The sequence below is a fragment of the Homo sapiens genome, chromosome 18 (assembly GCF_000001405.40).
Source record: "Homo sapiens chromosome 18, GRCh38.p14 Primary Assembly".
In the NCBI taxonomy this organism is placed as follows: Eukaryota; Metazoa; Chordata; class Mammalia; order Primates; family Hominidae; genus Homo; species Homo sapiens.
Window position 1 is genome coordinate 76,372,851 of NC_000018.10, and position 12,420 is coordinate 76,385,270.

The 12,420-nt window shown below is 52.1% G+C and overlaps 1 protein-coding gene across 16 annotated transcripts in view; it reads right to left on the reverse strand.

The window, feature by feature from the left end:
* Window positions 1-12,420, reverse strand: part of ZNF516 (zinc finger protein 516) — a 138,738-nt gene that overhangs the window by 15,169 nt on the left and 111,149 nt on the right. For all 16 annotated transcript variants that reach the window (XR_007066258.1, XM_047437953.1, XM_047437952.1 and 13 more), the window contains one exon: window positions 6,005-7,453. Coding sequence is in view for 15 of the 16 variants with exons in the window: in XM_047437953.1 (XP_047293909.1) it covers window positions 6,005-7,453 (1,449 nt within the window). In the remaining variant the exon portion in view is untranslated. The remainder of the gene's footprint in view (window positions 1-6,004; window positions 7,454-12,420) is intronic.

Sequence of the window (12,420 nt, forward strand, 5' to 3'; positions counted from 1 at the left end):
CACTCAAGTTAACAGGGGCCAGGTGCGGCGGCTCACGCCTGTAATCCCAGCACTTTGAGAGGCCAAAGCGGGAGGATCACTTGAGCCCAGGAGTTCAAGACCAGCCTGGGCAACAGAGTGAGAGCCCTCATCTCTACTAAAAATGTAAAAGCTATCCAGGCGAGTGATGCATGCCTATGCTTCTAGCTACTCAGGAGGCTGAGGTGGGAGGATCACTTGAGCTCAGGAGGTCAAGGCTGCATTGAGTTGAGATCACACCACTGCACTCCAGCCTAGGTGACAGAGTGAGATTCTGTCTTGAATGAAAGAAAGAAAAGAAAGAGGAAAAAGAAAAAGAACAGAAGAGAGAAGAAGCAAAGAGAAGAAGAAAAGAGGAGAGAGGAGGGAAGAGGAGGGGAGCGGAGGGGAGGGGAAAGGAGGGGAGACAGGAGAGGAGAAAAGGGAGGGAGGGAAAGAGAAGGGGAGAAAGAAAAGAAGGAAGTAAAGAAAAGGAAGGAAAGGAAAGAAAGAAAAGAGATTTTTTAAGCTATTTTGTTCCCCCATTCATTTGCATTAGAAACACCACCCAGTGGAGCTCCTACGAAATGAATTTCTGAATACTCCGGTTGTCTGGATTTTCCCAGGTACAATCTAGACTGCTTCTACAGGTGGAATCTGACCACGCCTACACACAATACTGACTAATGATGACGACATGCAATGTCATCTGTGTCTAACATTCACAACTTTCAAAAACTAAGTCATTATTCTTTTTTCAAGTAATTATTGTAGCTATTTCCTATCCAAATGAGCAACAGAGAAAACATGGATAGCCCTCCCACTCATCCGTGCTTATTTCCTTGAAGTAAGGGTGCATGAGCACGCGTGCACACACACACACGCAGGCGTACACGCTCACAAGTGCACACACACATATGAGTTTCCCACACATCTCACCATATCACTTTCTCTTTACTTTTTAAAGACAGGGCACTTGCCCTTATGGCCAATAATATTATGCCCAAGCTACAACATTCCGAGTCAATCACAAAGGTTATAAACTTCATTTGAACTGAAGACCACCTGGTAAGCACGCAGCTCAAATGTTCTCACCTAGAAATTCAAGTTGTGTTTGGAAAGTGGACTTAACGGTCAAAGAAAAAGGCCTGGCCAACTTCAGAGAGGGACACCCAGCCCTGCTACGTTGCGTGTCATTATGTGGTGCTGTGCTATCCATAGAGAAAGAGGAGATGAAAAAGATTCTACAAAGAGAGATCAAACTGCAAGAAAGCACAAAGCTTTCATCACCACAATATGAAGGCCTCCTTGGTATAAATGACTTTTTTAGGTCCCAATAAGAAATACCATCTATTCTATCTGGAATTATTTTATTAGCTTCAAATTTTATTCTAAGATTCATACTATCAGATCATCTAGACTGGCCGTAAGGTCTGAAAACACAGATCATGTATTATTTTATTACTGTTGTAGCAATAAGTCATTTATGTTCTATTCCTGTATGTTTATAGACTTGGTAGTCACACTGTACAATGATTACAGAAAATGCAGTGGGTTTTTCTTCTTAAATGGTCAGGGAGTCCCTAAAGGAGGTAGCAATAGTTCTTTCCTTCCTGTTTGGGTAGAGTTTTTAGACTCTTCATATCTACAGAAACATCACCCGAACACATGTGGGGGCGGGGAAGTCTTTGAGACTTCCGTTTCCTAACTTCTGAATAAAACCTGTCTTAGAAGCATCCTCCAATAGCAACATTCTCTGTATAAATGGAACATGTCCACTGCAAAATCACAGAATCACACTTCTAGCACCCACAACTATTGCATGTACACGTGAGATGACTTCCTATTCTCTGAGACCATTCTCCTCTGCATATTTCTACCTCCCCAAACTACAAAATGATGCTACAGCAATAGGGGTAATCAATGACCACTCACAGGGAAGTTGTGATCTTTACAGCTGCAGACGACACCCACCTAGCAGACACGTAACAAACACATGCGGTGAGAAGAGAAGACCAGAAAGCAGAGATACACTTGTATAATAAGACACGTCAAAAAGATCAATTTGACCAAGGAAGGAATGAAACAAGATTCTAGACTCATGACTCAAAAATCAACTACAGGTACACCACAAAAAAGAAACAGCTGAACAGAAACAAGTGGAAGAAAAAAGCCCTAAGAAAGTGTAGTTACTCCAGTATTCAGCAACACTCAAAAAAGGAAATCCAGGCTGCACAGATTTCCTGGGCTGCGGTAACAGAAATCGAGTCTCTGTAACAGGAAACATGAGTGTTCTGTTCACCTTTCCAATAGTCTGACCACACCAAGGCTGCTGGGTTTCCTTCTGGCTACAACACTTTAAGGGCGTCAAAAACAAACATTCAAGTAAGGAGAAAGGAAATGCGGAAGGTCCCAGAGACCAAATAGAGGATGGATGTGAAGGTCCTGGACACCAGGTAGAGAGTGGACAGGGAAGGCCCCAGAGAACAGGTAGAAGGATGGACACAGAAGGCCCCAGAGACCAGGTAGAGAGTGGACGTGAAGGCCCCAGAGACCAGGTAGACAATGGATGGGGAAGGTCCCAGAGACCAGGCAGAGGATGGATGGGTAGGTCCCGGAGACCAGGTAGAGGATGGACAGGGAAAGCCCTGGATACCAGGTAGAGGATGGACGCAGAAGGTCCTGGAGATCAGGTAGAGGATGGACACACAAGGTCCCGGAGACCAGGGAGAGGATGGACCCAGAAGGTCCTGGGGACCAGGTCTCCTGTCCTGGGAGACCTGGGAAGGCCCAAGATGGGAAGGCCCAAGAGACCAGGTAGAGGATGGATGGGAAGGCCCCGAAGACCAGGTAGAGGATGGATGGGAAGGGCCAAGAGACCAGGTAGAGGATGGATGGGAAGGCCCAAGAGACCAGGTAGAGGATGGATGGGAAGGCCCCAAAGACCAGGTAGAGGATGTATGGGAAGGCCCCGAAGACCAGGTAGAAGATGGACACAGAAGGTCCCAGAGACCAGGTAAAGGATGGACACAGAAGGTCCTGGGGACCAGGTAGAGGATGGATGGGAAGGCCCAAGAGACCAGGTAGAGGATGGATGGGAAGGCCCCGAAGACCAGGTAGAAGATGGACACGGAAGGTCCCGGAGACCAGGCAGAGGATAGATGGGTAGGCCCAAGAGACCAGGTAGAGGATGGATGCAGAACACGGATGCTGGGTCCAGGAAAGGCAAGAGGGAAATGTCTGAAGCCTTAAAGAACTATGACATAGAAGAGTTCTCAACTTGTTCTGACAGCTTCAACACAGAGACCTGTAGGCAAGGGAAGTTCACCAAAGCTAGGGGCCCAGGAGGTGCCGAGCCCCCTCACCGGAGGCGTCCCATCTGGAGATGCTCGGCACTTCTCAGGTGCACTGACCAAGTATCTAAACAGGCTGACCTCAGGTACTCTATACCCGGGAAGCCAGGATCCTAATAATGCACCTACTAACAGGTATATTTTAAGACCAAAAAGGTGAGAGCACTTCCCTTAAGAAACCCAATTTACAGTACACTTAGAAACCCTAAATTTGCTGACTCACACTATGTCTCAATGTGTACATTAGAAGAATAAATAACCCAAGATGAGTGCATGTACTTTGTGACTAGTATTTTTCACATATGAAAGATAAATATTTAACCTCTCTCTTTCAAAAAAAAAAAAAAAAGACCTTAGAACCATTTATTTTTTAAAATGTCTGTAAGAAAAGGGAAAATACTTCAGACTATTTTGGACTTCAAATTCTATCATCTAAAATTTCAAAACCTGACCTTAAAACTCACTTCTACTTTCTTAGAAACAGCAACTACGCCACCCACAGGGCAGCTCAAAAGCCTTTAAAAACGGGGGACGGCACTTTCCAGGTGTGAGCTGGCAGGTTGTTTAGAACCTAGGGTGCACGCAGGCTGGAGGGCATGATTAATTAAAACTATGAGTCCGGTGGATCAAGTGGGCGTCAAACTCCCCTTGCTCTGCTGGGAGGCGGCCACCGGGGGAAGGACACAGCGGGCCAGGTGCAGCTGGGAACACCCAGCATCCACAACAGCACAGACCTCACCACTCAGCCTTCTCTGCTTTGGGTTCCAAGAAACCCCACATCTCCAGAAGTGAGGCTGGCATCACATCAAAAGGCCACCAACCAACTTGTTTTCCACTTAGCAGCAAATAATCTACGTGACTGAGAAACCCTGCTGACGCTGAGGGAACTCGCTCACTGTAACTGAACGTGGAAAAAGTCAAACCATCAATCCACATGGCACTGCGCCGCGCCTCCCACCCACGACAGCCTCCTCAGGTTACACCGTCCACCCAGAGCACATGGGCGGGGAGAAGATGAGGATCTAAGACCACGCCTCAGGGACGCCACTCCTGAGTCACACCTCAAGCCAACGTGAATGACGAGACCCTCGGGTGTCCGGGCCTACGGCCTCATCCTAAAAAGTTCACAAGTGCTCAGCGGGCTCTTCAAAGCAGGAATGTAACAAGGTTGGCTGGAGTAAGGCCTTTGCCAGCAAATCTGTAAGAGGGGCAGCAGGCCTGTGATGTCTCCTACTGGAAAACACCTTGGGTGGGCATCCCTCATGCCAAGACAGCCCTGCCAGGCCATGGATCTAGGCAGGCTCTGAAACCCCGGCCTAAGCCAGGAGCTCAGCAGGTGACCCCAGCACCCACTGGGACACTGTCCCACGGTGGATCTGGGGAGGCTGTCTGCTGATATCTCCCAGACCCAGAACCATGCCCCTGACAGTCCTGCCAGCTGCCTGGAGTTTGCAGCCCTGGATCTCAGATGTTCTAATGGTAACCACTTTAAGAAACCACAGGCTTACAACGTTATTTTTTTTTTTTTTTTTTGAGATGGAGTCTCACTCTGTCACCCAGGCTGGAGTGCAGTGGCACGATCTCTACTCACTGCAACCTCCGCCTCCTGGGTTCAAGCAATTCTCCTGCCTCAGCCTCCCAAGTAGCTGGGATTACAGGTGCACCCCACCATGCCTGGCTAATTTTTGTGTTTTTAGTAGAGATGGTGTCTCTCACTATATTGACCAGGCTGGTCTTGAACTCCTGACGTCGTGATCCGCCCACCTCGGCCTCCCAAAGTGCATGGATTACAGGCGTTGAGCCACCATGCCTGGCCACGACAAACAATTCTATCGAAGAACGGTTAGGACTTCCCAGGCAATGAACTGAGAGACTCTGTTTTGTTTTGATTTTTAACAGAACTTAGGTTTGTGTTCTGGACGTTAAGTGAGAGTGACCTTCAATTATGTTCCAGAACGGGGCACCGCATGCAGTGCGCGTGCCGGAGGAGCAGGAGGAAAGCTAGCAACTGCTTCTCAGTGTTACTATCAGATAGCAATACTAAGGCAGAGGGAGAAGGGAAGATAACCTTTTCCAAGTATTTTTTTCAGGAATTTTTGCACAAATCCCATTCTCCAGACTTTATATGGTACATCGATCCTCTGCAAAGCTTTGCTTACTAATATTAGAGGACTAATTAGGTGTTTTTTTAATTACAGATGAATAAAAATAAAACTTAATACATTAAATGAATATTCTTGTCTTTTGAGAGACAGGACAATGAACATCTACGGATTCTGTTTAAAATGACAAACACGTGAAGTGCAATCACGTCGGCCTGCTCCTGCGGAATGTCGGTGTGGAGGAAACGTCCTCTCAGCAGGAAGGAAGCCGTGCAGGGCTTGCGACCTCCTCCCAGGGCCAACGTGCAGAGGGCCACCAACCCCAGGCAGGCATTCCCCGGCAGGGCAGAATGTGGAGCCTGGGAGAGCTGTTCCCATCTGCTGTGCTCCTCGGCCAGGGCAAGGGAGCAGCTCTCAGCTCAGCAGTGGGATGGGGCCGGCTGGCTCTGTCCTCAGGGACATGGACAGGCAGGTGCGCAGCAGCCCTGGCCCTCCGGGGGTGGTTCTGGGGGTCACATGTGGCCTGGGGAAGAGAGGGCCCGCACATCTTACCTCTGTGCTCCAACCCAGGGCCGCTGACACCCCATCCCTGGTAGAGGGTCGCAAAGTCCTTTGGAATGTACGTCTTAAAGATGTTGAGGATGTCCAGGCGCTTCTCATGCCCCTCGGCCACCGGCTCCTGTTTGATGGAGTGTAGGACGGGGGGCGCCCCAGCCACGCCGGGCTGGGCCTGCAAGGCCGCGTCGCCCCTGGACCCCGCAGCACAGGTGGCCAGAGTCCTCAGCTCCTGGGCTGCCTTCGAGGGGGGCTCGCGGGGAGGTAGAGGAGGAGCGCCCCCTTCGCCCTTTGCAGGAGGTGGACCCTGAGGCTGAGCACTGAATTTGGCTTTCAGGGAGTCCGGGGCACTGTGCTTATTTGTGGGGGCAAAGCCAGCCCCCGCTGGGGGGACCCCAAACTTCTCCACAGGCTTGCTATTGGCCGAGGGCTGCGCGCCAGCCCGGGCGATGACGGTGGGCGTAGGGGTGGCGCTCCTGCTGAAGCCCCCGCCACCCGGGGCAGGCACCGGTTTGGAGCTAGCCTCCTGCCTGGGCTTGGCCAGGGGCCCCTGTGTGGCCGCGCCATGTGGCTCCTGGCCGTGACAAGGTTTGGTCTGTCGATACCCGTCAGGGCCGGGCGCCCACAGAGCGCAGGGACCTCCGGAATGGCTCTCCTTATTCTTAGGCATGCTAGCGGCTTTTGTGACCACTCCCAGGGGAGAAGAGCCACTTTTGGACCCCGGCATCCCCCCTGGCACCTGAGTGCGGGTGAACCGAGCAAGGAGCAAAGGCTGGCATTCTTTGCCACCGAGGGCAGGCGGGGGGCCCGTGCGTCCGCTCCGGGAAAGGAAAACCAAATTGCTTCTGATGCTTTTGTAACCATTGGGCTGAATCCACGGGGGAGCCACGGAGTTGCAGCTGACGCGGTGCCAGATGCGTTTGTGCATCCACAGGACCTCGGGGTAGTAGGTCTTGTGGCTGCAGTAAGGACACGGGTGAACGACTAAAGCCGCCTGCAGGGAGGAGGCCGTCTCCTTATTGCTGGGGTCATCCCGCGTCGACCTCGCACTTAAATCTAGCGGCATGAGGTCTGGGGCCAGCGCCCGCTTCCCTCCCCCAGAGTGTTCCTTGTTGTGCAAATCGGACAGCTTTTCTGCAGGGTGACCCGTCTGGCCCTCCGCTCCCGTACTGGAAGGGAACTCCACACCATCACCAGGGACGGGCACCTCCTGCTTGGGGTGAAATGCTGGCATCTTTAAGTCCATAGAAAATCTGTGCTGCTCTTGCCTTCTAGAAGTCTCTCTGCTACTGTTTTCAAGTATGGACACAGAAGCTGCGATCCCTGCCTTGGACTCGCCGGTGTCTCTTTCCGAGGCGTTATCTCCCATCTTGTGACTCTGGTCTCCACTGGAGAGCTCGGTCGAAGTCACCTCTTCGGAAAAGCAGCAGCGGCGCGGCTGTCCCCCTAGAGGAGGCAAAATATGAAACGGGAAGTTACCATTTCTCATCAGAACACAGCAAGACACACGGTGCGTACAGCTACAGCATGTTCCAAGCCATCTGTCTTCAGCGGGAGAAGCCACCCTTGAGTCTGGGTGGCTCTTAGAAAACCCCTGAGGAGCCACCCAGACAAGAACAAAAGGGGGTGAGTCAGGCAGGACTTCTTTTCTCAATTTAAATGACCTGAAAGATCACAGGGAAAAAATACAATAGCAGTGGTGTATCTAGTTACATGTAACGACGCTGTCCCTAGTTAACAGAGGGTGACTGGTATATTAAAACTTGGGAAAAAAATTAATTATTCACAGCAGTATAAGGTTCGTATGACTTTCGAGGAACTCTACATTTAGGGCTCTTGTGGAATCTTCACAATCATTCATTGCAGGGTAAGAAAACCAGAGAAGTTGGGTGGAGCCCACAGTCACAGAAGCAGGCTTGGGCAACAGCTTACTCTGTCCAAAGGACCCCCCGTGTCTGCCTCCGAAACCACTGGGCTACCGACCACCTTCCGCCTCAGCCATAGGGCTCCCTCCCTACGCATCTCTCCTGTGAGGGCAATTCTCAAGCCCAAAACACTGATGCCCCAAGGTCCCCCAGAGGCGGGTGAGCAAAGGCAGCCACGCTATCCACCTCCATGCCGCCACCTGCCGGCTGCCCAGGAGAACTGAGCCCGGGGTTCCGCCCCTCAAGCTCTGCGCCCCTGATGGTCGGACCTTGACGGAGAGCGTGTCTGAGCCACAGTCTGGGATGAACTCTGCGGTGGGGAGGGATGGTGTGGTCAGAACCCTCCCACTTTACCCAAGGAACGCGTGAGACAGGGAGAAACACAGCCGAGGTGTGGGCTGTGCTCGGAGGTTTTAAGGCTTTTCCAAAGTCAGAAGAGACTGTACTGCAAGTGGACACAACACGGATTAACAAAAATTCGGTTTTATGTTTTGCATTTACGGCCTTGGGTTTCTGTAAATCTAGACATCGAAACAGGGCAGGAGTACAGATGTTTCCGGATATCTTAAAACTCTCTGAACTATAAAACACAGGATTCTTCACCACCCAGCCGCCATCTGCAGTCCCTTACAGCCATGTCTCCGTATAAGGCCCCAAGTTCTTGGTTTTCAAATAAGATTTTCAGAGATTTTTAACATTCAGTAAAATGGAGGGATCTGCTAACTCAGAATGTTCCTTTAAAATGTTCTAAGTGTATATTTGGAGATAACACTTAGGAATCCCAACAAACTGGTAACAAATCCATTCCAAGGGGTTCTTCATCAGGGTGAGACAGCGCCTGTCACTGAAGGCACTTGCCCAGATCTGAGGGACACGGTAACAAATGCTGGTTTTCAATCAGCGGGCAGTTAGTGCGCAATTCATACGCCGTGTTAAAGGACTTGTCCATGTAAAAAACGCCAGCAGTTAAGGGCTGATCAGCAGAACTGGTGCGGAGATGAGACAAAGGAAGAAAAAACTATCCAACTCCTACCGGCTCCTAAAGGCTAATATTTAAATAAAGTCAAGGCTGGACACAGTGGCTTATGCCTGCAATCCCAGCACTATGGGGGGCCGAGGCGGGTGGGTCACCTGAGGTCAGGAGTTCAAGACCAGCCTGGCCAACGTGGTGAAACCCCGTCTCTGCTAAAAATGCAAAAATTAGCCAGGTGTAGTGGCACGCGCCTGAAGTCCCAGCTACTCCGGAGGCTGAGGCAGGAGAATCGCTTGAACCCAGGAGGTGGAGGTTGCAGTGAGCTGACATCACGCCACTGCACTCCAGCCTGGGCAACAGAGCAAGACTCCATCTTAAAAAATAACAGTAATAATGATAATAAAATAAATTTTAAAATAAAAAATAAATCAATGAAGTCAGGTATATGAGTCTGTTATACGCACACAGTGGTATGAGAAAGGAGACTGGGCAGTGCTAGGATGCACCACGGATAAAAACATGGAATTAAGTATATGAAAGAGGAAACGTTAGCCTTTGTTTAAGTCAGAATGGTGCTCAGTACGTTCGACTCATTTCTAAATATTCGAAAAAGGCAACATCCAGCAGGGAGAGATCTAGTTTTCCCTGCAGTAAAGGAATACAGATTTCTGAACACACATGTCCAAGACTACTAGTGGAGTCTGTCAGTGTAAACAATGCGGCTGTGTCATCGGCCCCTGTACATCTGTGGGGTTTTCAAAGCACGACTGTCGAGGCTTCCAAAATGTTCCCCAAAAGGATCATAAAACATCACCTAGAACTTCCAGTACCTCTGACCAAGACACTGAGTAATAAACTAAAAGTGAATAATCTAGCCAGGCACAGTGGCTCAGACCCATAATCCCAGCACTTTGGGAGGCCGAGGCGGGCAGATCACTTGGGGCCAGGAGTTCGAGACCAGCCTGGCCAACATGGCAAAATGCTGTCTCTACTAAAAACACAAAAATTAGCTGGGCATGGTGGCCAGCACCTGTAATACCAGCACTTTGGGAAGCCCAGGAGAGCGGATCATTTGGGATCAGGAGTTTGAGGACAGCCTGGCCAACATGGCAAAACCTCGTCTCTACTAAAAATACAAAAATTAGCCAAGCGTGGTGGCATGCGCCTCTAATCCCGAGGCTGAGGCAGGAGATTCCCTTGAACCCTGGAGGGGGAGGCTGCAGTGAGCCGAGATGGCGCCACTGCACTCCAGCCTGGGCAACAGAGCAAGACTCTGTCTCAAAAAAAAAAAAAAAAAAAAAAAAGCGCATGGTCTAGCCCAAGTTATCGATGTCACCGGTCGAGAGTGAACGGCAAAATGCCTCTGGAACACACAGACCCTGCACAGAGTCCCGAGCCACCCCAGGAGGGCGGGAGAGAAGCATGACCACGAGTGGAGGGGCAGCGGGCAGGAAACTGAAGCTATTCGCAGAAGCAGCTGATGAGCAGAAAGACTGAACAGCTTTCCAAGGACCTACTTCCTTTCCAAGGAAGAAAACACGTGGCTAACTGGAGAGGCGCAGGATCCTCAGCAACAAGGAACCAAGCACCTTCTCAGCCAGGGACCCAGGACCCTCTTCTCCACCAGGCACCTTCTCAGCCAGGGACCCAGGACCCTCTTCTCCACCAGGCACCTTCTCAGCCAGGGACCCAGGACCCTCTTCCCCACACCAGGCACCTTCTCAGCCAGGGACCCAGGACCCTCTTCCCCACCAGGCACCTTCTCAGCCAGGGACCCATGACCCTCTTCCCCACCAGGCACCTTCTCAGCCAGGGACCCAGGACCCTCTTCCCCACCAGGCACCTTCTCGCCAGGGACCCAGGACCCTCTTCCCCACCAGGCACCTTCTCAGCCAGGGACCCAGGACCCTCTTCCCCGGACCCTCTTCTGACCGAGGTTTCTTCATTACAGGATCAGGGCCACTGAAACAGCAAAAGCCTCTAGTGAGCTCCCGATCAGGCCTCAGGCCTTGGTGTACAGAGAGGCGCAGGCCCAAGCGCTCCCCGCATTCATCATCAGTAAGCCACAGAACAGACGGCTTCGCCCCTCGTCCCCGGCTCCTGGACCCAGTGCTGTTGGTTGACAAGGGCCCTCCAGGGGCCTCCAATCATGGGAATAAACTACTGCCAAGTCCAGTGGGCCTCGCAAAGTGCTGCCACATGACACAGCCAAGGTTTCCTTACTGCCAAGGTTTCGTTACAGCCAGGTCAAAACAAAACTAAGACGAGGGGCCTCCCAGGCGGCCCAAGGGGACCACGACACCCATCCACTGTTCTCAGGTTCCTGAGTGCCATTCTGACTTTTTCATTTATCCCTTTTCTACACTTCCCATTCTCGTGTGCACTCCATCTACTGCACACGCGAGGTGAACCTCCCAGAGAAATTAAGCGCCACCACTGGCAATGAGAACTCCTCAGGACACCCCCAACAGGTGGCAGCAGGCACAGGACACACCCGTGCCCCCTCCACGGCCCCCACGCCCCCACCAGGGCCCACACGCCTTCCTCCACAGCCCCCATACCCCCTCCACCACCCCCACCCCTCCCTCCACGGCTCTCACGTCCCCTCCACGGTTCCGACACCCCCACCACGGGCCGCACCCCTTTCTCCTTAGCCCCCACCACTCCCTCCACGGTTCTCACGCCCCGTCCACGCCCCCCACGCCCCCACCACGACCCGCACACCTTTCTCCATGGCCCCCATACCCCCTCCACAGTTCTCACGCCCCCTCCACGAACCCCACGCCCCCTCTGTGGTTCCACACATCCCCTCCATGGCCCCCAAACTCCCTCTCCACAGCTCCCATCCCCCACCCCCCCTACAGTTGGGACCTGGCGTAGGTGGCTTTTGATGTTTCGGTGGCCCTGATCCTGAAACGGAAGAACTCGGCTAGAGAAGTGTCCGGGGAGGGGGCTCCAGCTCCCTGGTTGAGGAAATGCCTGGTTCCGTGGCTCCCATGCCACACAGGGAGAAAGTCTGCAAGAAAAAGCACTTCTGCTCCTCAGTCCCCACCAATCTGACAGCCCCTGGGTGGCAGTGCTCACCGGGCACTTTATTAGAATTGAAGGAAAGAGAACGGTGCTGATTTGAGCATGGCGTGGCCCTGCATAGATGGCTGCCTCTAACCCTGACCGCAGTGCCGAGGGCACACACCAGAGAGGGAAGGCTGGCTCAGAAAGGCCTGGCAGCGGCCCTGTGCAGAGGGAGCAGGATCTCCAACACTCACCCCATGCTCTCCGGGTGCACGGAAGCACGTGCCAGGAGGAGGCAGCCGGGTCCGAGCAGCCCTAGAGAAGGCGCACGTCGCTCCCAACCCCACGAGTGTGCACACGCGTGCCACAGACGGTGACTATGGCTGCTCTGTCCTCGGCTCAAACACACCAGGGGCTCCCGGGTTCCTTTCTAAGCAGGACCTTCCTAGATGTGTCTTGGAAACACAAACATGGATTAGGTCTTGGGTGACTTCACTGCGTCC